Genomic DNA, 27,320 nt, shown 5'->3' on the forward strand with positions numbered 1-27,320 from the left:
GATCATTGCTGTTCATAAATAATTAAAACACTGAAAGAGGCCATTAAATAAAGTATGTTCAGTAGCGTTTGATGTATGATACACAGTTTTATTCTGCATGAGCTGGGGCTAGTGATGGTCCCATTACCAGTCTACTACAAATACAGAAACCTAGAGTAAGCATTAGAAACCTTTATAGCAGTTTTGTCACTGGAAGGAGGGCCTTGAGTGTGAGTCATCCAGGTTTTTGGCCATTTGGAACGAAAAGTTGGACAAAATGCACAAAGTAACAAAGGTGAAGCTGCGAAAGCAAAAGCAGGGATTTATTAAACTGAGAAAGCACTCCACAGGGTGGGAGTGGGCCTGAGCAAGTGGCTCAAGGGCCCAGTTACAAAGTTTTCTGGGTTTTAAATAGTTCTTTTGAGGTCCCTATGCGCTACCCCTTATCTGGATGAAGGATTTGGTTTATGGCTAAGTAAAGGCTGAGGTGAATTTGTGCCCTATGCAGATGATGGCATGGCCCATGCTTAGTGGTTGGCCCACAGCCAATCCAAGGCACTTTCCCTTTCCATCTGAGACACGGTGGAAGTGTGGCAGGCCACGTCTCACTAACAACTGTTTCAGTACTGACTAAGTGGTTAAATATTGAAAGCCAGTGCCCTTATACAAAGGCTGGGGTGTAACAAAAGCCCATTAAGAATTTTGCCTAGGCCTTTCCTGGGCCTCTTAAAGCATACAAAATAAAGAAAGAATTCTTAACAGGACCCCTTTAGGATTAAACAAGTTTTATTGTGGTCTGAAGAAACTCCCCAGGCCTCCACAAACAAGTTTATTGGGGGGTCTAAGAGAACTCCTCAAACCTCCACCACTTAGCAGGAGAGAATACAAGGATAATCACCCCAGCACCTGGACCCATTTAGGTTAAGTAAATTTACTGAGGCTCCAGAGGAAGGTTTTCAGGACTCAGACCTTAGTTACAGATTAAAAGAAGTTAATCACTTATGTCTTTAGATAAATGCACACTTACACGTAGACAGTTCGCTTAGAAGGTATATAAGCTCTGAAAAACTGTAATTTTGAGTTGGTCTGGCGATAATTTCCAGGCCTTCTCCCTGCAACCGGTTACAGAAATAAAAACTCTCTTCCTCCCCAGCTCATCTGCATCTCGTTATTGGGCCTTGAAAAATAGCAGCCCAACCCTCAGTTTGGTCTGGGAACAGAAGGTTGTAGGGAGAGTAGCCTTTGATCCTTTGCTACTGGGGAGTGGGGAGATGGGGTTTTTCCTTCTGGTTTAGCTTTAGGAAGTTGGTGTTAATTGGCCCTAGGCTCTCGGCCCCCAGACCCAGGTGTTTTCCTTTTGATCCAGCTTTGGGAAGCCAGCACCAACTGGTCTCAGATTCCCTACTTCCAGCCCTTGCTGTTTTTCCTTGATTGAGCTTTAGGAAGTCAGCACGAAGTGGCCTTAAGTACCCTGCCTCCAAACCCTATTCTGCCTCATTTTGGCAGAGTACTTTTATATGTCTTGGATCTAATAATAAAATATCGGGGCTTGTGTTTTGTATGCCTTTTGCTTTTCTTTTTCTAGCACTTTTTTTTTTTGTATTTTCTAAAAGCACCCATCTGGAATGGCTTGGAGACAAAAACAGGTCCTTTAGCACAGTTTGAGATGCACTGATACAGAAGGTTACAGCACATTCTCAGTACTTCGGCGAATGAAGTTCTGAGATTCTGGTTCCACGCCACATTCCAAGTTTTGAATACTGGTAATTTAGGTCTGATTCTACATAAAGTTCTTAATAAAATCAGTGCTCATTTTCTCAAATAAGTTTCTTTAGAGGAGGAGGTCTGGGATCAAAAGTTGGGCTGTGAAGTGGCACAATGCCTGGATCTGTACATCCAAAAAGGAGTGGAAAATTAGATAATAATCGCCCAACTTTGGCTCCTAGACCCAAACCTTTTCTCTAGAATGGGCACTGGTGCAAATACCGTGAGGCCTTCCTGCAATGAAGTGCCAATCTCAGGCGCCAGGGCACAGACCCAGTGCGTGTCACAGATCCTGTCCTGAGTGCTAGGCCGGGTGACGCCCCCACCAGGATTAAAGATCAGGGGTCCGCTGAGCCCTAGGAAGCAGTGACAGACACCTGCGCCAAGGCGGAGCGAGAAGAGCCTGGAATGGCTCCGGGCTTTGCGTCACGCAGCTCCGCCCCTCGGCCTATCTCACCCGACGCCGTCTCCGAGGGCAGGGAACGGTTGGCGGACTGAGATTGGAGGGATCAGCTCAGACTCGATGACGCAACGGGAGGCGGGGCGTGGCCGTACTCTGATTGGTGACGGGTGAGGCGGCCCGAAATCGTAGGACTTCCGAAAGCAGCGGCGGCGTTTGCTTCACTGCTTGGAAGTGTGAGTGCGCGAAGATGCGAAAGGTGGTTTTGATTACCGGGGCTAGCAGGTGAGGCTCCTTTGTGTTGGCAGAGGCGGCAGCGGATCAGGGGTCCGAGAGAGCAGGGGTCTGCGACCCTCCACGAACGGACCCCGGAAGCGCCCGCCCCTGGCTTTGCCTAGGTTCCCCGGAGTCTGCAGCAGGTGTGGGGCATGTCGGCCTCTTGAGGTGCTCAGTAACTGGTGCTTTGTATTAAACATGACAGTGAAAAGGAAAACTAGAGCATCAGTAAGTGATGAGTGTCGCAGTGATGATCCTGAGGTTATCAAGGCAATGGGGTACTCAGGCGGGCTCCGCCCCTTTTCCATCTTTGCCTACTGTTCGTATTTATCGTCAGTGCCCAATAGTTTGCTCCTGACCACGTGATCATGTCTTATACTCCAGGTGTTTTGTCTGTACAAGCCTTTTGCCTACAAATTTGGACACCCATGAACATTAGGACGGTGGAGAGAAAACAATCCCGTTTCATTTAGCTCAGTGCTAGAGAGCTAACATACTCTTCAGAAACCCAGAGAAAATTAATCTTTTCCTATGAAGGCATGGTTGGGGTGCAGAATAACCAGCTCATAATAATTCCAGGGTTGCTCGTTTAGTCTCTCAGCCTCTTCTGTTGCTTGTTTTACCTGTCATTTGCACTTCTGTGAAAAATGTGTGGAGGATGAAGCCAATCAAACCATTTTTCTACTAGTTGCATTTGACATTTTTAAATGATTAAGACAGAGGACATGTTAAACATTTAAGATTGATCCACTTTGAATTATTTAACCACATGCATATTAACTAAGCCAGCTTGGTAGGTGTCTGCATTTGGCAACTTTTTAGCATACCCTCTCAAGTGACTTTAACCGTTGATTGGTGCTTCTTATGTGGAAGGTACTGAGTAAGTCAGAATTGATTTTGTCTGTTCCTTTTACATACATTGTGATATGTGCAATTGTATATTAAATGCCTACTGTTCTCATGTGAGGACAAATAAATATTTTTGATGCTTTGTTGTTGGTGCTAATAGATTACTGATGGTTCCAGGCTCTTTTTGGGTTTTAACTATTAACATATTTGCCTGGAATCAACTTAAGTCTTGAAAGAGAACTTATTACCCAGCTTTTCATCGCTATCAGCCAGGCTGGTCTGACTGCTGTCACCACTCCTATGCGGTTTTACAATGCTGGTTTTGAAGTTCTTTGTTTCCAAGTGGTGTACTCATCTAATATTTAGTGTATTCCTACCTTCTACTTAATCATGTTGAGTTCTTTCTTTTTCTATTATTTAATCATAGTTGTTGAGAGGGATTTGTACATCCTGCCATGTTACTGATGCCTCATCCTGAAAGATTCATCTCTTCCTTTATCAGAGATTTCTGGTGCTCCTTATGGTGTTTATGATACCAATAGGTGGTAGAGCCCTTGCCCCTGAGGAGCCTAGAGAGCAAAGTCAAAATGCACATAGGAAACAGCTAATAAGATGCTCTTTTGAGCCCTTACTGGTGATATATTAAATCATTTTCATGAGTGGCATAATAAGTACAAAATGAAAACCACTGGCAGGATAAAGCCCAGTAGTAGAAAAACTAAAGAACAATTCTTGTTTTCAGTCCAGTTATTTTGTCACTGAAGTTTTTCAAAACGAGAAAAACACAAACTAGGCTGTGTCTCAAGCAAGTGACTATTGGAGTGTAGGATTCCTCCCTTCTTAAATAATTGTTGAGTCTTTTCTTTCTATCTGGGCTTCTCATTGGAGGTCAAGTTGACACAGTTTTCTGAACCAGAGAGAAATGCCTCTACCTGATGCCATCCCAGATAACCCACATCTTGTGTCTGAATTGTCCTCCCAGTGGCATTGGCCTGGCCCTCTGCAAGCGGCTGCTGGCGGAAGATGATGAGCTTCATCTGTGTTTGGCGTGCAGGAATATGAGCAAGGCAGAAGCTGTCTGTGCTGCTCTGCTGGCCTCTCACCCCACTGCTGAGGTCACCATTGTCCAGGTGGATGTCAGCAACCTGCAGTCATTCTTCCGGGCCTCCAAGGAACTTAAGCAAAGGTATATCTCTTGCTGATGGATTTTTTTTTTCTCGTGTGATTGTGCAGCATAACACTTAATAAAATAAGAGAGGAAAGAAAAACCTAAAAAGAAACAGGTGCGGTGTAAGCAGTTATGTTGAAGAAGTCTGTATAGGGTGACCCACTGTGTCTCAGTACCACGTTTTCTTTCTTTCTTTTTTTTTTTTTAAAGAGATAGAGTCTTGCTCTGTTGCCCAGGCTGGAGTGCAATGGCGTGATCTCGGCTCACTTCAACCTCTGCCTCCTGGGTTCAAGTGATTCTCCTGCCTCCACCTCCTGAGTAGCTGGGATTACAGACATGCGCCACCATGCCTGGTTAATTTTTGTATTTTTAGTAGAGATGGGGTTTTACCATGTTGGTCAGGCTGGTTTCGAACCCGTGACCTCGTGATCCACCCACCTCGGCCTCCCAAAGTGCTGGGATTACAGGCGTCAGCCATTGCGCCTGGCCAGTACCACATTTTCAATCTCAATCATGATCATAATTATTTCATGGAGACTAATTTATAAGTACATCCTGATGTGTGATCAGTTGGTGCTGGGATTACAGGCATGAGCCATTGCACCCAGCCAGTACCACATTTTCAGTCTCAATCACGATCATAATTATTTCATGGAGACTAAGTTATGAGTACATCCTGATACATATCGATCAGTTGGTGCTGGGATTACAGGTGTGAGCCATTGCACTTGGCCAGTACCACATTTTCAATCTCAACCATGATCGTAATTATTTCATGGAGACTAATTTGTAAGTACATCCTGGTGTGTGATCAGTTGCACTGCCTTACGTTAAGGTAACTCCTTTGACATTTGAATTCATTTTTTACATCTTTCTTCACATAATGAATTCATTAAGTAGATAAGGCAAGTAGTGAGTGACATTTAACAAGTGAAGAAACTGAGACACAGAAATAAGGGTAATATGCCTGGGAAGGTCATCCAGTCTTATATTAGTTGGGTGGGTCCAAGACCCCAGGGCTTCTCCCTGCTTCCTAAGGAGTATTTTTTTTCCCTAGGCCAGTAAAGATTTGTTCACACCTTCACAGTAATTGGCATGTAATAGACATTTGATCAGTAGTTGGTATATGAAGGAATAGAGTCCTCAGATGTATAACTCCCCTGAAAGTGAACACAAAATTGCATGTAGGTGCACAATGCATTTTTTGGGCAGAGAGGGCTTTTTATTTATTTATTTGTTTTTAAATTGTAAGAGGAATTTATGATGAAAAAAGTCCAAGAACCCTGCACTAGTCTATGCTGCCCTAGGGCTATCTGGAATAATTAATTTTCAAATATTGAGGCACTTAAGAGACAAAGAACTACCTTGTTTCCTTGGACAGTAAAATGAAATGGGTAGAAACAAGGAAGGCCTTCTTGATGAAGACGTTTGCTGAATAAAAATACTTCGTATTTTATGTGAATTGATAATCATTTGCATTTGCCTGTTCCAAATGCACAAGTTACAAAGTGAAAGCTAGTTTTCTTCACTCCAGCTCTTCTCAGTGTGGCCTTAGTCCTTTGTAAATGTGGTTTCTCTCTCCAGTATTGCTGAGCTATTAGAGTTTTCTACCGCATCTTAAAGAAAAAAAAAAAAAAAAAACCTGAGGAGATTTTCTAGGTTCTGTTTTCACATAAATTTTGATATATTCCATATCCCCGACTCCTCCATAACTTAAGCATCTCCAGGGCTGTGAAACTGTATACTGAATGTCCTTATGGAGATAAAAACCATGAAGTTGAGAGAAGTTATGAGTTTTAAATCATGTTTACAGGCATTCTTTTCCCAAACTTTCTTAGCCAGCTGGCTTCTTACCTGCTTTGTTTAGATTTTGTTATATTTTCTTATTTGGAAGAAAAGAACCTTCATTTCCCAGTTAATAATATCCCATTCCGATGCAGTTTACTTTTGAGACCCAAAGTTTTAACATTTATAGTACTGACTATTCCCAAATGCCTTCAAAGGTTCAAGATATTCGGTACTTTATCGCAAGTTTAGTAATTTAGTATTTCGTAAGATATTTAGCAACTTAGCACAGATTCAAGGCAGTGAGGCTGTGGGGCAGAAGGGAGCACTTCAGGTGATAAGTGAGTTGTCCCAGGTACCTGTCATCAGCGTTTTAGTGAAGTTTTGAGGTATTTATTTAGTCCACAAAACAGCCTTTTTTTTGAGATGGTTGGTGTTATTCAAGTTTAGGAAATGATGGTTGTAGTGATATTCACAAGTTTGGAATATATGAAAGTGTCCAGAAAGATTCTTACTTATGTCAAGAAACTGCACCCAGTGGCTCAAATGGATCTCTTCAGTTCTAAGTCTGAAATAAACTAGAGCTAAAGAGAGCTCGAGAATCCCTTCTAATGGCTCAAGTAGCACCATCCCTGACACCTGGTCTTTCCATCTGTAGCATTCTCTTCTATTACATAGTGCAGATGAAAACTATTAAGAAATAGTGATGCTGTTTTATCCATATTAGAGCAATGTATCAATTATTTTATTGATGAGTGGTATGTCATTTTACTGAAGCCAGAGCTTAATTTGATGTCTTTACTAAACATTTCCTCTCCGTTCCTAGCCAAATATGTTAATATTCGTAGATAAAAGTTGGCAAATAAGGTAATAGAACAAGCAACAATGGATGAACTCACACTATCTTTGTGGCACTTACATGATGAACTGATGGTAATAATATCAGCATTTTAAATGGTCAATTTAATAATTTGAGTCATTTGTCAATTATTTATAGGATGATCAAGAAATGGTTGTATGTGATCCGTGTTGAAGACCATGTATGTATTTCAGGGTCCTAACTTTAGAAGCTATGACTCTTAATATCTTGGGTTATTCAGAGACAGTTTGGCACATAGAACTCTAGGAGATATTCTGAATATTTATGGTGTCTGTAAGTATCATGAGAGCAGGCTTTACCTGCCTTGAACCTAGTTCAAAATGAGTACATTTAAACCTATATAAGTCTTAGATGAAGAGTCTTAGATGAAGACTTACATAGGTTTAAAACTGAAAATGCTTTTTCAACTCAGCATTTCATATCCCTTCCATGACAAGTATTCAGGGGGGAGCCCAACAAGATTACCTTACCCCCATTCATCTTTTATAATCTCATTGTATTCTTACGAACTTTCATCATTTTAGGATGCATAGGACTTGTCCATGAACACTGAAAGGTTTCCACATGGATCTTCTGTTTTATTATATATTTTGGCATTCAGATTTCAGCATTAATAGATCAGGTCAGGTGAATATCAATAGTATATAAATTTTACTTGTCAACCAGAGGAGATGTGGATTTTTTTTTTTAAAAGCAAGAGACTTTGTAAGATGAGGAGAGTGGGTTTAAGAGTTAGAGGGTTGCTGCAATTCCTTATTGAGAGGACAGAGCTGGAAGGAATTATTGATCAGAGGTTTTACTTAAAGTCCACGATGACTCCACAGATTCTGTTTGAAGCCACTACCAAAGAAAGAATTCTCAAATGTTTACTGTAGCTAAAGAAAAACTGTTGAGAAAGAAATGCTGTAACTCTAATGTGCTATAAATTCTTCTGAGCTTGCTGTGGCTAATTTATTAATTTAAAAAGTATTTTTTGTCTTTCTTAGGCCTCCTTGAATCTAGTCACTCTAGAGATAGAATACACAATCTTGTCCTGATGTTTTTACTTGCAACTCACAATCTTGTTTGGTGGTTTAGTTGCAGGTTTCAGAGATTAGACCGTATATATCTAAATGCTGGGATCATGCCTAATCCACAACTAAATATCAAAGCACTTCTCTTTGGCCTCTTTTCAAGGTAATTTTCATTTTATGGATGAACTGATTGGAAGGAATGTGTTCATTTTTCTGCCTAGTTTTGATGGCGTGTTAAGTTGGGGGGATGAAAGGTAAGGGGTTGTTGAAAAGGTTGAAGACAGAAAAAGGAGATGTTGCAACCATTATCATGAAAGAAAAGCAATCCTCTTTTGTGGGGAGTGCTGAAAGTCCCATTTTTTATGGTATTCTAAGTCTCCAGGACATTCTAAATGGTTTAGAAGGTCATTTTTTGGTCTGCCTGGATATGCCTATTAGCAAGAACATTTTGAAATTAGGCAGAGTTCTCAGAGAGACTCCAATTTCCAGGAAAGTTACTTTGAACTATTTCCCAGATGTATGTCAGGTGCTCTGACAAGTAGGTTGGGGAAATGCAGACAACTAATGTTTCCTGGGAGATTCTTGTTACTCATTAGTGTAGTGGCTTTCCAAAATGTTGAAACACAACCAGGAGAATTCTTATTTATAGGAATAAATCTTACTTTGTGACCCAATACACTTATTCATAAATAGGCATTCTTACTATGTGCTGCTTACTATACCAATGCTTTTGCTTTACTTCTTTTCCATTAAAAGACAGACAGACAGACAGACACACACACACACACACACACACACACACACACACACACACACACACTCTCTCTGTCTCTCCCCACATTGATCTTGACCTACTAAATTGACCTCCCAGCAGAACACTATATTAATATGTTTGAAGAATTCCCAGTTAAACAAACAATCTGTTTAACTCTTTTTTTGACAGTTAAACATACTTCATGCACAGGAAAACTTTTTTCCCTTTGGCATAGCTTATTATTCCTTTAGAACAGTTTACCTGTAACCTGATTGGGAAAGAGGTGAAGAGAATTTTAGCAGCAGGTTTTTGAGAGACTCAAGTTCCTATTGGTAGCGTGAGCTATAAGTATGTAAGTATTTCTGTGAATTAGTGGGGGGAAGGAGGGTCTTTGGCATTTCATTTAATACAATAACCCAGTCTGAGAAATAGGTATTTTTATTCCTGTCATTACAGAATCAAGGGAGGTGTAGTTTATGAGTCGGGGGGATGGGTTGGAAAGTGTTTTCAGTATTTCCAGTTAAAGAAGCTTTAAAAAGTCATGCAATTATCTTCTGCTGTTTCAGAAAAGTGATTCATATGTTCTCCACAGCTGAAGGCCTGCTGACCCAGGGTGATAAGATCACTGCTGATGGACTTCAGGAGGTGTTTGAGACCGATGTCTTTGGCCATTTTATCCTGGTAAAGAAGCTGTGGGCTTAATAAGCTAATATTTGGTGTGATAGTTCCTGTAAAGCTCTGGGCACAGGGCATTATTATAGTTGAGCAGCCAGTTAACTGATTTAATCTCATGTTTGAGTTTTCTTGATTGCATTTGCCTTGTTTATTGTGAGCATGGAATACTTCTGGAAGCTTTCCTAGTAGATTTTTCTTTAATAAATGTACTAATAGTTTTTGATTTACAGAATTACTGCAAAGATAGTACAGAGACTTTCTGTATGCCCTACACCCAGTTTCCCCTATTATTAACATTTCGCATTGGTATGATGCATTTGTCGAAATAGATGAATCAATTCTGCTACATTATTATTAACTAAAGTACACACTTTATTCAGGTTCTGTTTTTGCCTAATGTCTTTTTTCAGTTCTAGGATCCCATTCAAGATACTACATTACATTTAGCAGTCATGTCTCCTTAGGCTCTTCTTGGTTGTGACAGCTTCTCAGACTTTCCTTGTTTTTGATGACCTTGACAGTTTTGAGGAGTACTGCTTAGGTGTTTTGTAGACTCTCTCAATCGGGATTTGTCTGATGTTTTTCTCATGGTGAGACTGAAGAATGTGGTTTTTGGGAGGAAGGCCACAGAGGTAAAGTGACATTCTCATGACATCACATCAAGGGTGTATTCTTTCAGTATGACTTCTCAGTGTTGATATTAACCTTGATCACCTGGCTTGAGGTCATGTCTGTCAGGTTTCTCCATTGTTAAGTTACTTTTTCTTTCTCCCTTTTCATACTCTACTTTTTGAAAGAAAGTTGGGCCGGGCACGGTGGCTCCTGCCTGTAATCCTAGCACTTTGGGAGGCCAAGGCAGGCGGATTACCTGAGGTTGGGAGTTTGAGATCAGCCTGACCAACATGGAGAAACCCCATCTCTATCAAAAAACAAAATTAGCCGGGTGTGGTGACGCATGCCTGTAATCCCAGCTGCTTGGGAGGCTGAGGCAGAAGAATCGCTTGAACCCGGGAGGCAGAGGTTGCGGTGAGCTGAGGTCATGCCATTGCACTCCAGCCTGGGCAACAAGAGTGAAACTCCATCTCAAAAAAAAAAAAAGAGAAAAAGAAAGAAAGTTACTATGTGCAGCCAATGCATACTGGCTAGTGCTCTACCTTCTTAAGAGAGTGGGTTATCTACAGAAATTATTTGGATTTTTTCCACAAGGGAGATTGTCAGTTCTCCTTTATTTATGTCTTTATTCAATCATTTATTGTATCCATATGGACTCATGTTTATGTATTTGCTGCTTTGAAATTATAAATACTATTTTATTTTCCTGCTCAAATTTTTTCAGTTTTGGCCACTGGGAACACTTTCAGTTGGCTCCTGTATCTCTTTGGCACACCCCCATTGTTATGGTTTTCTCTTTTTGTTTTAGCTTTCATTTTGAGCAGTTTCTTACTATCTGGCACTACAAGATGCGTCAGACTCATCTTGTGTTTTCCTTGTTCAGTCCTAGAATCAGCTACTTTTCTAAAGACATATGTTTTCTTTTATCAGAGAATGGTTATTAGAAACCAAGATCTGGGTGCTTATTGCTACTGAGATATCAGTGTCTTCTAAACCCTCTCTGCTGATAGACTAAGAGATATATATGTACATACTAACTCATGTATGTATACATATCTATAAATATTTTTCTGTGTAACTAATTCATGTCTCTTTTAGATAACTAGTTAATACTGATGTCTCTGACCCTAATCTCTTACCATACAGTACAGTGGTTTCAAAATTTTTATCTGTATTCTGTCAGTATATTTTAATACTTTTTTTTTTCTTTCACCCAGATTCGGGAACTGGAGCCTCTCCTCTGTCACAGTGACAATCCATCTCAGCTCATCTGGACATCATCTCGCAATGCAAGGAAATCTAATTTCAGCCTCGAGGACTTCCAGCACAGCAAAGGCAAGGAACCCTACAGCTCTTCCAAATATGCCACTGACCTTTTGAGTGTGGCTTTGAACAGGAACTTTCAACCAGCAGGTAAGGCCTGTCTCAGTGACGGAAATGGCAGAGGAGGGTTCTCTTAATTACCTGCTGTTGATTTCCTAATAAGGTAGCTGGCTTTCCACTAACTCTTGTAGTTTAGATTGATATTTGGTGTATATGAAAGTGTTAGGGCAGAGATAATTGGCTCCTGACATTATAGTTATAGGTAGTTCATTCATCATTCTGTGGTTCTTCAGGAATTCTAACTTATGTTAACAGAGTGACACTACTAAAAGTGATAATAGCTACTGTTTTGGTACTTGCTGTGTTTCAGGTGCTGTATTCGTCTGTGTATGTCATTAAATACCTGCCTCATTACATGGAGGTGGGTCTAAGTATTACCATTTTCAGATGAGGACACTAAATCTCGGAGAACTTAAGTCATTTACCTGATGGTCACACAACTTGTAAATGGTAGAGCTCAGAATTGAGCCCGAGGCTGACTTTATAGCTTGGACTTTTCCCACTGTACCATGCTGCCTCCTAGTGTTTGTCATAGCAGACGTTTATAGGACAGTCAAGTAGTTATAAAACCTTCTAGATAGTGGTGGTTTTAGCTAAGACTCCAGAGCTCTGTCTCTATGAGGATCTCAGTTTATGGGATGTTTTTCAGGGGATGGCGACCCTTGTTGGTCATACTGAGTCCTTGTTGCCACTATGGTTTGCAGCTTACTGCTTCTTTGTATGTCTCTGTTGCCCAGGTCTAAATTCTGACCTGAAAATCTCCAGTCTTCCCCTTGGACATTTTCTTTTGTTTGCTTTGATTAACAGCGTTGTATGAGTATGGGGCTATGGAGAAGTTTAATTTCACTAACATTTACAAAAGACCTATCATGTTTAGGGCACTGGGCCAGGTTTAGGGTTGAGGAGGAAAGTGAAATAAGAAGATGATCAAGAATTATGTTTTACTTCAACGGAGCTTCTTGGATCATGAATTAGACATAGAAATATAACTCTTACGTGATGGTCTAGACCTGGCTTATTCTGGAATTGCTACCTTTATCAGGTGTTATTCTGTGTTCTGGCTCTTAGAATGATGCCCCCCTTTTTTTTTTTGAGACAGAGTCTCATTCTGTTGCCCAGGCTGGAGTGCAGTGGCACAATCTTGGCTCGCTGCAACCTCTATCTTCTTAATTCAAGTGATTCTTGTGCCTCAGCTTCTCGAGTAGCTGGGATTACAGGGATGTGCCACCACACCCAATTTTTGTGTTTTTAGTAGAGACAGGGTTTTACTATGTTGGCCAAGCTGGTCTCGAACTCCTGACCTCAGGTATCTGCCTGCCTCAGCCTCCCAAAATGCTGGGATTACAGTGCTTGCACCCAGCCTGAATCATGCCTCTTATAAAGTTGAAGCTAAGAGCATACTTTCTAGAACTGAATTTGAATCCTGACTCTTTGTAACCCTAGGCATATTATTTAATCTCCCTATGCCTCAGTTTCCTCATCTGAAAAATAGGGATAGTAATAGTGCCTGCCTCACAGATTTATTGGGAAGATTGACTGAGGGGGATCTGTATGAAGCACTCACAGCAGTGTTTTGTATTCAGAATGTGAGTTTGTATGTACATGTGTCTGTACAAATATGTACATGTGGATATACATGAGTGTGGGTATGTATTTGTGTGCCTACCCATGTGTAGCGGGTTCATATGTACATGTACAGGTTTTGTGGGTGTGTGCACATGTGTTTGTGAATGTATTTTTTGGGTGTGTGCATGTGTGTAGGTGTCAGTGCATGTGGTCTGCACATGCATGTACATGTTCTTGTATTGGCTGTTAATATTGCAGGTTGGACTCAGCATGTTGGCCCAATTGTGCACCTCCTTCTGAAGTTTCTTGAGATGTTTAAAAACTTGTCACAACTGCTTCCTGATACTCTGAGAACTCCCTTTTAGAGGGATTAGCTTTTCCTTTCATAAAAAGGTCTGGGATTCTATTTAAGTCTCAATTATCAAGTAAGCTTTGGGATTTTATCTTTTACGAAGGAGGGAGATTTAGCTATTGCTTGTAAAATCTGTTGAGATTGGTTCTCAGCCAATGACTTTTTCTTCTTGGCCTTTATGAGGAAAGAAGCAGCTGAGAAAGAATAACATTACAGGATTCCTTTTGAAGCCCTGTGTTACTGGAAATGTTGTCAGGTTCTATATAGACTGCCTGATAGACTTTAATTATCCATGCATGCTCCCCCACTCAAGCTGTATAGAAATATTCAGGATCATCACAATTAATCCCTATAATTAAACAAATGGAAGGATACAGTCTTGGTTAAGATTGTCTTCTTCTTTCTTTTTTGTTTATCTCTCAACATCAGAGAATTATATACGTTGGAAACGCTGGATTTTAGTTTGAAGATTTCTTTGTTTAGGACAGAATAGTCCCCAAGTGATCCTAGGAAGCGCCTAGAATAAGAACTTTTCCTTAGCTGTTTTAGCGGCAGAGTACATTATTTGCTTAGGAAAAACTTTTGGACTATCATGAGGATAAGTCTTAGCTCTTGACTTTTTTCTAGAGGATTGTTGGTAAATCAAGGGGATTCTCAGGGATGGTTGATCCATGTCAGGCAGTGCCAAGCCTCTGCAGTACCAAATAAAGGATGAAAAGCCTCCAGGTTCTGTTGCTTAGGGTGCTGTCTGTCCGTTGAACTGTCTGTTAAACTGGCACTTCCTATTTTTTTATTTAAAAGAAAAAATGAGTTTAAAAATGATAAAAATGAGTTAAAATAGTCAATATCAAAATAAAGTAAAATGTATAGTATAAATTAAACTAAATAAAATAGTAAAACAAATCCCAATAAGAGGCATGATCCCAGGGCTCCAGGACTTAACTATAGATCACATAGGACCCTTTGGATTAACCTAAGCTCTGTGTTAATTGGGGCTCTCTTTGTAGGGTGGAACTTTCTAAAATGAGTTCTAGGCTAAGGACCTGATTTAGAGATCTTCAGTTGGAGAAAGTTTTGTGATAGCACATACAGCCTAATGCCGGGAGCACCCACCTCAAGCTAGAGGTATGGGTCTTATGTACTTGCAGGGAAACAGACACATACTTTAGGTTTAGCTGTCTATTTATTAGGCCAGAAACTTCTCGAAGGCAAGGACTGTACTCCGTACATCTTTTAATCTTAAATGCTCATTATGATTAAAAAGCTGATCTTCAGTTAAGCCAATAATAGGGAAAACTCAGATAACCAGGCCCTGCTTTTCTCCCCCAGCTTTAAGATTGGTTATTTTTTATACTGCAAGGTTCATGAGAATAGAGACTTTGTCCCACTAATTTTTGCATCCTGGGTGCCTCTCACAGTGGGTTCTCTTAATACATGATTCTTCAACATAAACGTTTTACCCAACTTCAGAGACAACTCAGAACATAAATTCTTTATTACCTGACTTCTGGCTCATGTACATACCTCTTTTATTAACTAGCATGTAGCTGGACTGAGTCAATATACACTGAGTTAAAGTCTCATTGCTACACCTCTCTGTTCCTAGGGTCTCTATTCCAATGTGGCCTGTCCAGGTACAGCATTGACCAATTTGACATATGGAATTCTGCCTCCGTTTATATGGACACTGTTGATGCCGGCAATATTGCTAGCAAGTGATGAATACTTCTTTTCTTAACTCATAAAAATCTCTTTTTGGGACCTAGAAGATATGTTTAAAGGTTGGGAAATGATTTAAGGAATTGAACCTGAATGCCATTTAACTTGAGGTTTTTGAACTTAATGTGAAACCTCTGCTTAATATTTCTAAGTGTTACTGCCACACCACCATTTGAGTGTCCACTTCTCTTTAAAGGAATGTTTCATTGCTCATGCACCACAGATCCCAAGAGTTCTGTAATCATATAATTTTAGAAAACCCATGTTGAACATTGTTAAACTGGACTTCTCTAAGTTTTCAAACTGATCCTGTGCATCAAAAGTTCCCAAGAAGGGGATAATTGTGTACTATGTAACTATACAACCATATTTTTGTTTTGTGATTTGAACGTCTTGCAGGACCATTGTTTCTGTGGCACATCTTGAAAAATGCTACTTTTAGGAATGATTCTCTCTTTAGGGCTCAGGAAGAAGTGTCTCTTCCTTAGGGCAGGCATAAAGTAAAGATCAGAAGTAAATAGGCCTTCATGTTAAAAGTAGTTGATTTGGAATAATGGAGATTAAATGATGTTTCTTTTTTGACTTCTTTATTTTTTGTTACTTAAAAAGTGTTCTATAATCAGAAAGGCAGGGTTTTTAAAAATATTTAAATGAATAATTCTTTCATGACTCTATTCTAAACCACCAAAAAATAACTGTTGTTTTCTTTTCTGCAGCTTCGCTTTTTTGCAAATGCATTCACTTTGACACCATATAATGGAACAGAAGCTCTGGTATGTTACTGAAGTTTTTATAACTTGTATGATGACTTAGCAGATGTGAATTATAGGTTCACTCGTAGTAGAAATAATTTCAACAGAAAAGATAATAAGAGAATAAGCTCTGTGAATAATTGAGGTCCCGTTTGGAACTAAAGTGGACTATAAGGCTAAGCACAGAACATTAGGAGTGAAGTTTGCAAGTTTAACATCTACCATGGCACTGGGCACCATGACTGTAGGGAAAGCACTTCTTTAGAGGCAAGATACACCAGCAGCTAGAGGAGAGACAGAGCAATGGGAAGCTGGAGGGACAGGCAGAGCAGGACGGTGACTGCACAATCAGTCTGTGATTTCCCGTGGAGAAAGAGCATTTTGTGGGTCAAGAGCCAGGACAACAAGGTTCAACACCATTCCCCTCTATAAAGATTTTCTTCCCTCTCTTAGAAGATCAAGTTGTTATTTTATTAGGAAGCCAGTGGAGTTAAATCACACGTGGCAAATGGGTTGCATGTGTCTCCTCATCAATGGCAGACATTACTAATGGGCTATAATACTCCTTTCTGCTATACACACGTGATGTCTCTGAATATTCTTCAACCCAGAGCTCCAGAGGCAGCCTCTACTAACGGTTCAGAATTGTCATACATAAAAAGTCCATTGTATCTGAGTCAGTTCTTTACATTTGTCTCCCTCATTCCATTGAACTCCTTCAGGATTTTTGCTATTCACTTTGGAAACCTGAGGACCTAGCATTGTAGTACTTAGTAGATTCTTAAATCTTAATTGAGATTAGCTAAGGAAAACATAAATGGAATTGGCTTTGATGCTCTTGTTTTGGTAAGTGTTACAGAAATAAATACATTTATTGTGGGAATACAAATTGGTTGTAGAAGCAAGTGCTTTTAAACTATATTTTAATTGGTTCTCAATATATTTGCCAAACCATTCACTGATGATATTTGAGAGGATGTTTATAATTTGTCTGGGGAGCTCTATAAAGTGCAGATAGTGACTCTCCACCAGCCTCACTCACCTTGGGCAGAAGAAACAAATCATTGACACATCCTTCCTTTCCAGGTATGGCTTTTCCACCAAAAGCCTGAATCTGTCAATCCTCTGATCAAATATCTGAGTGCCACCACTGGCTTTGGAAGAAATTACATTATGACCCAGAAGGTAAATGTGCTTACATTGTTGCACTGATGTTTGCTGTTGGGTTGATGAATTAAGCCCGTGTTCCTGACCAGCCCCTCAGCCCCCCAGCTTCGCTTCTCTGGGTACTCACTGTTCACCAGCATCACACGGGCCTGATTTTATTTCATCCTGCTCTCTCCTGCTTCTCGCACATCTTATTCCCCCGACTTGAGCTGCTCTCAGCCTCTCGATGATTGATTTGTGCTCATCCTTCAGATCAGTTTATCCCATAGCCTTTAGTGACCCCGTAGACTGGGCCTGGGTGCCTCTGTAATAGGCTTTCTTGACATCTCATACCTGTTGCAGATCATGCTTGTTCACCTTCGGGTTCCCCTGTCAGAATGTAAGCTCTGTGAGGAGGAGGGTCGTACCCCATTTCCTAGCAGGCTGCCTTACACACGGTAGACGCTCAGTAAATACGTTGCAAGTTGAATGAAATATGAAGTGTTTTTCTGTGTGAAGTTAACTTCCCTTTGAGTATTCAATTCTGCTTGTGACAATTGTCAGCTTTAATAGATGGTGTTTTGAGGAGGAACAGAATAATGTGCAGAAAAAAAAGTCAGTACTGTGTTTTTTAGACTTGGTATAATCTAAAATGAAATCAAACATAGAGTTACATACTGGGGAATAAGAAAATTTATTTTAAACTAAGAGAACTACTTTGTTGTACTTTTGTCATGCGTAAGGTTTATTTCAGCCCCTGATTTTCCACTGTCCAGCCTGTTGTGAGGAGACATTAGCATAAGATAAAATGAGATTGAGGTGACTGTTATCGCAGGTAAGTCAACTAACTGGCATTGATCTTGGCCTCTGTTAGTAGCATGAGTTAAAAGGGGAGCCATGCACTTGGCTTCCTGTGCTATCTGTTCACTAAAAGTGAACCTTCCAGGTTTTTCAAAATATGTTCTGTGGGATACTAGTTTCCTGAGAAGATTTGCAAGAAGTAGTTCCTCTAGCAAGTAAAATGGAACCATGCTTCATATTACATTCCCCTCTTTCAGAGACTTGTACAGCATACATCAGCAAAGTAAAGGCTGTGAGAAGTTGAAACAGTTAAGAAATGTGTGTGAAATATTTTATCCTGCTGTTTTCAGTACTTCACCATGAATTTTTTTTTAAAGCAAATTTTACATAACCTGTAACATCCCTTTGGGGAATTCTATTGTAAACTAATAGCTTACTTTAGGCTAGCAGGGTGTATTTGAACTTACTATCTATTAACTTAGAATGAATGATTTGTTTATCAAGGGGAAAATGTTTAGTTGTACAAACTGACATACTCATTAGCATTTTATGGAAATGCATTGAAGAAAGTATTTTAACCTTTGATTAATTTGGGGAAGTCAGCTTTCTCTTCTGTTAAAAGATGGGGTTGAACTAGAAGAGTTCTGTAATGCTTCTTCCAGTTCCATTATGGAAAAACTCTAACTTGATTGAAGATAAATGTTACTTTCTTTCTTTTATTTTAAATTATTATTATACTTCAAGTTCTAGAGTACATGTGCACAACGTGCAGGTTTGTTACATATGTATACATGTGCCATGTTGGTGTGCTGCACCCAATAACTCATCATTTACATTAGGTATATCTCCTAATGCTATCCCTCCCCACTACACCCACCCCACAACAGGCCCCAGTGTGTGAGGTTCCCCTTCCTGTGTCCATGTGTTCTCATTGTTCAGTTCCCACCTATGAGTGAGAACATGCGGTATTTGGTTTTTTGTCCTTGTGATAGTTTGCTGAGAATGATGGTTTCCAGCTTCATCCATGTCCCTACAAAGGATATGAACTCATCCTTTTTTATGGCTGCATAGTATTCTATGTGGTATATGTGCCACATTTTCTTAATCCAGTCTATCATTGATGGACATTTGGGTTGATTCCAAGTCTTTGCTATTGTGAATAGTGCCGCAGTAAACATACATGTGCATCTGTCTTTATAGCAGCATGATTTATAATCCTTTGGGTATATATCCAATAATGGGATGGCTGGGTCAAATGGTATTTCTAGTTCTAGATCCTTGAGGAATTGCCACACTGTCTTCCACAATGGTTGAACTAGTTTACAGTCCCACCAACAGTGTAAAAGTGTTCCTATTTCTCCACATACTCTCCAGCACCTGTTGTTTCCTGACTTTTTAATGATCGCCATTCTAACTGGTGTGAGATGGTATCTCACTGTGGTTTTGATTTGCATTTCTCTGATGGCCAGTGATGATGAGCATTTTTGCATGTGTCTTTTGCTTGCATAAATGTCTTCTTCTGAGAAGTGTCTGTTCATATCCTTTGCCCACTTGTTGATGGGGTTGTTTGTTTTTTTCTTGTAAATTTGAGTTCATTGTAGATTCTGGATATTAGCCCTTTGTCAGATGGGTAGATTGTGAAAATTTTCTCCCATTCTGTAGGTTGCCTTCCTCTGATGGTAGTTTCTTTTGCTTTGCAGAAGCTCTTTAGTTTAATTAGATCCCATTTGTCAATTTTGGCTTTTGTTGCCATTGCTTTTGGTGTTTTAGACATGAAGTCCTTGCCCATGCCTATGTCCTGAATGGTATTGCCTAGGTTTTCTTCTAGGGTTTTTATGGTTTTAGGTCTAACATTTAAGTATTTAATCCATCTCAAATTAATTTTTGTATAAGGTGTAAGGAAGGGATCGAGTTTCAGCTTTCTACATATGGCTAGCCAGTTTTCCCAGCACCATTTATTAAATAGGGAATCCTTTCCCCATTTCTTGTTTATGTCAGGTTTGTCAAAGATCAGATGGTTGTAGATATGCGGCATTATTTCTGAGGGCTGTGTTCTGTTCCATTGGTCTATATCTCTGTTTTGGTACCAGTACCATGCTGTTTTGGTTACTGTAGCCTTGTAGTATAGTTTGAAGTCAGGTAGCGTGATGCCTCCAGCTTTGTTCTTTTGGCTTAGGATTGTCTTGGCAATGCGGGCCCTTTTTTGGCTCCATATGAACTTGAAAGTAGTTTTTTCCAATTCTGTGAAGACAGTCATTGGCAGCTTGATGGGGATGGCATTGAATCTATACATTACCTTGGCCAGTATGGCCATTTTCATGATATTAATTCTTCCTATCCATGAGCATGGAATGTTCTTCCATTTGTTTGTGTCCTCTTTTATTTCATTGAGCAGTGGTTTGTAGTTCTCCTTGACGAGGTCCTTCACATCTCTTGTAAGTTGAATTCCTAGATATTTTATTCTCTTTGAAGCAATTGTGAATGGGAGTTCACTCATGATTTGGCTCTCTGTTTGTCTCCTATTGGTGTATAAGAATGCTCGTGATTTTTGCACATTGATTTTGTATCCTGAGACTTTGCTGAAGTTGCTTATCAGCTTAAGGAGATTTTGGGCTGAGACAATGGGGTTTTCTAAATATACAATCATGTAATTTGCAAACAGGGACAATTTGACCTCCCCTTTTCCTAATTGAATACCCTTTCATTCTTTCTCCTGCCTGATTGCCCTGGCCAGAACTTCCAACACTATGTTGAATAGAAGTGGAGAGAGAGGGCGTCCCTGTCTTGTGCCAGTTTTCAAAGGGAATGCTTCTAGTTTTTGCCCATTCAATATGATATTGGCTGTGAGTTTGTCATAAATAGCTCTTATTATTTTGAGATATGTCCGATCAATACCTAATTTATTGAGAATTTTTAACACGAAGTGCTGTTGAATTTTGTCAAAGGCCTTTTCTGCATCTATTGAGATAATCTTGTGGTTTTTGTCTTTGGTTCTGTTTATATGCTGGATTACGTTTATTGATTTGCGTATGTTGAATCAGCCTTGCATCCCAGGGATGAAGCTCACTTGATCATGGTGGATAAGCTTTTTGATGTGCTGCTGGATTCGGTTTGCCAGTATTTTATTGAGGATTTTTGCATCAGTGTTCGTCAGCGATATTGGTCTAAAATTCTCTTTTTTTGTTGTGTCTCTGTCAGGCTTTGGTATCAGGATGATGCTGGCCTCATAAAATGAGTTAGGAAGGATTCCCTCTTTTTCTATTGATTGGAATAGTTTCAGAAGGAATGGTACCAGCTCCTCCTTGTACCTCTGGTAGAATTCGGCTGTGAATCTGTCTGGTCCTGGGCTTTTTTTGGTTGGTAGGCTATTATTGCCTCAATTTCAGATCCTGTTATTGGTCTATTCAGGGATTTGACCCCTTCCTGGTTTAGTCTTGGGAGGGTGTAAGTGTCCAGGAATTTATCCATTTCTTCTAGATTTTCTAGTTTATTTGCGTAGAGGTGTTTATAGTATTCTCAGATGGGATCGGTGGTGATATCCCTTTTATCATTTTTTATTGCGTCTATTTGATTCTTCTCTCTCTTCTTCTTTATTAGTCTTGCTAGCAGTCTGTCAATTTTGTTGATCTTTTCAAAAAACCAGCTCCTGGATTCATTGATTTTTTGAAGGGTTTTTTTGTGTCTCTATCTCCTTCAGTTCTGCTCTGATCTTAGTTATTTCTTGCCTTCTGCTAGCTTTTGAATGTGTTTGCTTTTGCTTCTCTAGTTCTTTTAATTGTGATGTTAGAGTGTCAATTTTAGATCTTTCCTGCTTTCTCTTGTGGGCTTTTAGTGCTATAAATTTCGCTCTACACACTGCTTTAAATGTGTCCCAGAGATTCTGGTGTGTTGTGTCTTTGTTCTCATTGGTTTCAAAGAACATCTTTATATCTGCCTTCATTTCGTTATGTACCTCGTAGTCATTCAGGAGCAGGTTGTTCAGTTTCCATGTAGTTGAGTGGTTTTGAGTGAGTTTCTTAATCCTGAGTTCTAGTTTGATTGCACTGTGGTCTGAGAGACAGTTTGTTATAATTTCTGTTCTTCCACATTTGCTGAGGAATGCTTTACTTCCAACTATGTGGTCAATTTTGGAATAAGTGCTGTGTGGTGCTGAGAAGAATGTATATTCTGTTGATTTGGGGTGGAGAGTTCTGTAGATGTCTATTAGGTCTGCTTGGTGCAGAGCTGAGTTCAATTCCTGGATATCCTTGTTAACTTTCTGTCTCGTTGATCTGTCTAATGTTGACAGTGGGGTGTTAAAGTCTTCCATTATTATTCTGTGGGAGTCTAAGCCTCTTTGTAGGTCTCTAAGGACTTGCTTTATGAATCTGGGTGCTCCTGTACTGGGTGCATATATATTTAGGATAGTTAGTTCTTCTTGTTGAATTGATCCCTTTACCATTATGTAATGGCCTTCTTTGTGTCTTTGATCTTTGTTGGTTTAAAGTATGTTTTATCAGAGACTAGGATTGCGACCACTGCCTTTTTTTGTTTTCCATTTGCTTGGTAGATCTCCCTCCATCCCTTTATTTTGAGCCTATGTGTGTCTCTGCACATGAAATGGGTCTCCTGAATATAGCACACTGGTGGGTCTTGACTCTTTATCCAATTTGCCAGTCTGTGTCTTTTAGTTGGATCATTTAGCCTATTTACATTTAAGGTTAATATTGTTATGTGTGAATTTGATCCTGTCATTATGATGTTAGCTGGTTATTTTGTTTGTTAGTTGATGCAGTTTCTTCCTAGCATCGCTGGTCTTTACAATTTGGCATGTTTTTGCAGTGGCTGATACCGGTTGTTCCTTTCCATGTTTAGTGCTTCCTTCAGGAGTTCTTGTAGGGCAGGCCTGGTGGTGACAAAATCTCTCAGCATTTGCTTGTCTGTAAAGTATTTTATTTCTCCTTCACTTATGAAGCTAAGTTTGGCTGGATATGAAAATCTGGATTGAAAATTCTTTTCTTTAAGAATGTTGAATATCGGCCCCCACCCTCTTCTGGCTTGTAGAGTTTCTGCCAAGAGATCTGCTGTTAAGTCTGATGGGCTTCCCTTTGTGGGTAACCCGACCTTTCTCTCTGGCTGCCCTTAAAAATGTTATTTTCAAAATGTTCAAAAGTTTATTTAATTTTTAGCCTTTCAATTTTGTGAACAAAGAGGCTGTTCTTGAAGTTTAGGCTCTGTGTTGGCTTGATAAAAGGATATCACTATTTTAAAAGGGCTGAAAGTTTGCCTGTACATACTGTCGAGATTTTCTGCATGAAACACAAGAATGTAAAATAACTATAGATTAAACTAGATAGAATCTTAAATTTCTTGCCTGTAAAAGCATTTAGGAGAGAGGCAGTCTCAGGCTGCCATGGCAAGTCCACAAATTGTCAGGTACTCAAGTTCCTTGCAATCACCACCTGGCCATCTTTAGGGCGTGGCCCTCAGGCTTGTGGCTCGAGAGTGGTATGGAAGAAGGGAAGAAAAAAGGGATGCTTTATTTCTCTTGAAGAGACTCCAGGTATTATTTACATCTCACTAGCCAGAACATAGTCTCATGGCTCTGGCACCCATTGTTTCAATGGGGGCTGAAGTATCGTCTTATATCCAGAGGGCAGTGAGCCCAGCTAAAACCAGGGCTCTTTTACTAAGCCAGATTGATATTAGGAAGTGAGTAGTCGTTAAAAATTCACAAAACTCTTGATTTTTCTGTTTTGTCCTTTGATAACACAGTTGGTTGGTGTCTTCTGTTACTGGGCATATAAAAGTTGGGGGAGATAGCAAAACTCAGATCTTTCAGTCTTGCTGTTTAAGGGAAGCATCAGTGGGTTTGGTTGGTGAGTGTTGGAACTGAGACTGAGATTTAGTATGTCTTCAGGCTCTCAGCTTCTTCCACGTGTCTGCCACCGTGGCCCTTTCTTGCTGCCTCCTTTCTTTTTATTTCATATATTGAATGCCTTTTTTTTATACAAATACTATTCATCTTATTTTTCCTTTCTAGACATCTCTATGTTTGCTTCTTTTCCAGATGGACCTAGATGAAGACACTGCTGAAAAATTTTATCAAAAGTTACTGGAACTGGAAAAGCACATTAGGGTCACTATTCAAAAAACAGATAATCAGGCCAGGCTCAGTGGCTCATGCCTATAATTCCAGCACTTTGGGAGGCCAAGGCAGAAGGATCACTTGAGACCAGGAGTTCGAGACCAGCCTGAGAAACATAGTGAGCCCTTGTCTCTACAAAAAGAAATAAAAATAATAGCTGGGTGTGGTGGCATGCGCATGTAGTCCCAACTACTCAGGAGGATGAGGTGGGGGGATCTCTTGAGGCTGGGAGGCGGAGGTTGCAGTGAGCTGAGATTGTGCCACTGCACTCCAGCCTGGGTGACAGCGAGACCCTGTCTCAAAACATATATATATTTAATATATATGTAAAGCCAGAGCTGACAATGACACTCTGGAACATTGCATACCTTCTGTACATTCTGGGGTACATGGATTTCTACTGAGTTGGATAATATGCATTTGTAATAAACTATGAACTATGACTCTCTTTTCCTTCCTTTTGGAATTATCTCCAAGACTGTGTATGTGTATGCATATGAGAAAAAGATTGGGCCGGGCACGGTGGCTCAAGCCTGTAATCCCAGCACTTTGGGAGCCTGAGGTGGGCGCATCATGAGGTCAGGAGTTTGAGACCAGCCTGGCCAACATGGCAAAAACCCATCTCTACTAAAAATACAAAACTTAGCCAGGTGTGGTGGCGTGCACCTGTAATCTCAGCTACTTGGGAGGCTGAGACAGGAGAATCACTTGAACTCAGGAAGCAGAGGTTGCAGTGGGCCGAGATCGCGGCACTGTACTGCAGCCTGGGTGACAGAGCAAGACTCCATCTCAAAAATAAAAAATTGATTAAGTAAAAATATTAATTAGTTATTCTCTAGAGTGGTATCACATCAAAATTATTAGAGTTCTTTTCTGAAAGATTTTATGTAAAAATAAAAATTATTCGAGTCACCCAACAGAGTATCTGTTTATATTATTCTGCCAACTGGGGCCTAAGCTGTGCTCCATGGGACAAGAGGTGGACTTGAATAATTGTGACACAGGCACACACTGCTCCTTTCTTTGGCCTGCCCCCAGCAAAAGGAAGTACTGCCCACTATCTGAGTGGCAGTCGGAACTTCGTTGCTTTATGAGCAATTTTTTTAGCTCTTTTGCCTTATTTCTTCCTCCATATGTTGCTTCTGACAATCTTAAGATTGTTAGAATCCTAACAATCCTCATGTGGGTGCCCATGTGGTTAATAACAAAAACCAAATAGATAGATGTTTGGGTCACTTGAATTATTTCTTGTTTAAAAAATATCTTTTATTGATTCTGAGGGAGTTCATGCTAATATTGGGCCCGACCCTTAACACTATTTGCATATTTATTAGTGACCAACACATTTTCATGATCATATCTTAATAGTTGTAAACTTGCAGCAAGAAATTATTCACTCACATTAAGTTTCAATAAAATTTTCTAACTGGGTAACTGCTGGTGTAAGGTACACTATAGTGAGGATTTAGTTTACATGTATCAGATAATCATGCAAACTTTATAAATTTTCAAAGAACCACACCCCAGGCCTCATTTGATATGAAGAAAAATGATAAAATGCTGTATATTTTTACTTTAAATATAACCAATGTAATGCCTGAAATCTAAAGTCAGTAAAATTTTGAATGACTTGACAAAAGTAAAAAATGATATATAATTTCCTCACAGTTTAAAGTATGAAGCTTTTGGTTCTAGTTTCTCTAATTTTGTTGTTAAAGGTTTTCTATAAACATTCTGTAAGTGAAAATGAGAGCTGCACACCACTGTGTCCACCGTCTTTGGGAGAGAAGGGTGAAGTTGACCTGAAATCAGAGCTGTTTTTCACTCTTCCATTCACTCACATTGTAAATTTGGAAGAAGCACATTATCTGTTGTGAATCTCAGGTTCCTCATATGTAAAGTGGAGTGGTTATCTTTTTGCTGCTTCTACTCATGGGTATGGAGTGAAGATTTAATGCAATAATATATGTGAATGAATAAAGAGCTTTTTTTGGCACATTGTAATAATTTTTACTGGAGATTGAATATGCCAGAGTATCATGGTTCAAATGCTACGGTGTAAGGCACTGAGTGATCACTTCCTATCTGGTAGAGTTGGTTAATTTTCCAAGTTTGACCCGGAAGCAGCATCTGATCAAGTGGGAGGGCATGGTGGGAGGAGTATGGGCTTTAGGGCTGGGAAGACCTTGGATCAGATTAGGATTTAGCCAGTTAACTATCTGTATGGAGTTCGAGACCAGTTGTATAACTTTGGGCAAGTTACTTCAATGTGTACCTCAGTTTAATTACATAAAGTATTGATGCCAGTGCCTACCTTGCAGAATTGTGATAATATCCTAGTAGGTGCACAGTCAATGCAAATTGGTACTGAATTCTGTTCTACGTTAAGTACCCAAAAGGAAGCTTTAAACATGAACCAATCTTGATTTCACGTCATTGATGATGTGTCACTAGGTTGGTGCTGTGCGTATTTTCTGAGCCATTTTATCCAATTTCCTCAAAATAGGGAACACTCCCTTCCCACACTCCCAAATGATGTACCTGTATAATTGGTTCCTTTCATTAAACAATCCTAGGTTTCACTGTTTTTGTATCTGACTGGAGTAGTAAGTTAAAGATTCAACTGCTAGGAAGTTGGATTTCAGCAGATGCCTGCTTTCTGCCTTGATCTGGTACATTTATTTTGATTTCCAATGGGTTCAGTATAATTCATTCATTCCACAGATGAGCACCGACCACATGCCAGGCACTGCTGGGTTTTGAGGATATAGAAGTTAACATATGAATGATAGAGTGAGACATCTCAAATGCTTCTAGGCATTCTAGAAAGAATTGAGAACATGGGAAAGAGGCAACTTTGAGGAGATGAAGGCTGAGTTTTTTTTTTTTTTTTTTTTTAGAATTGATGGAAGCCATGATCATCAGATTCAGGAAAAATGGCAAGTTCCACACAAGATAGACACAGATAAAGAAAAACCTAGACATAGTGAAACTGCAGAGAACCAAAGAAACTAACTTGCAAAAACAACTGGAGACAATAGATTATTGACAAAAATCACTGGGTGGATTAGCTAATGCCTATAATCCCAGCACTTTGGGAGGCCAAAGTGGAAGGATAGCTTAAGGCCAGGAGTTAGAGACCAGCCTGGGCAACATAACGAGATGCTGTCTTTACCAAAAATAAATCATTTCTTTTTAATATTGTTGGATTTGCTTTGCTAATATTTTATGGAGAATTTATGTGTCTAAGTTCATGAAAGATATTGGCCTGTACTTTTTTTTGGTTTTGACTGGTTTGGTTATTTGGCAATAGCAACCT

General features: G+C 39.8%; 1 pseudogene across 1 annotated transcript, besides 1 other annotated feature; it reads left to right on the forward strand.

The window, feature by feature from the left end:
* Window positions 1,976-2,533: an enhancer, noted in NCBI's record as "H3K27ac hESC enhancer chr10:38644965-38645522 (GRCh37/hg19 assembly coordinates)". NCBI's record gives its function as "activates a minimal SCP1, AML or CMV promoter by ChIP-STARR-seq in naive H9 embryonic stem cells {active_cell/tissue: H9 hESC(naive)}" and the evidence as "EXISTENCE:reporter gene assay evidence [ECO:0000049][PMID:30033119]".
* Window positions 2,319-24,444, forward strand: HSD17B7P2 (hydroxysteroid 17-beta dehydrogenase 7 pseudogene 2; annotated as a pseudogene). Its single transcript, NR_003086.1, has 8 exons — window positions 2,319-2,428; window positions 4,251-4,454; window positions 8,179-8,277; window positions 9,435-9,549; window positions 11,373-11,568; window positions 15,892-15,948; window positions 17,014-17,112; window positions 23,924-24,444. The product of NR_003086.1 is annotated as a hydroxysteroid 17-beta dehydrogenase 7 pseudogene 2 (transcript).
* The last annotated feature ends 2,876 nt before the right edge of the window (window positions 24,445-27,320 follow it).

This window comes from Homo sapiens, chromosome 10, assembly GCF_000001405.40.
Source record: "Homo sapiens chromosome 10, GRCh38.p14 Primary Assembly".
NCBI classification, from domain to species: domain Eukaryota; kingdom Metazoa; phylum Chordata; class Mammalia; order Primates; family Hominidae; genus Homo; species Homo sapiens.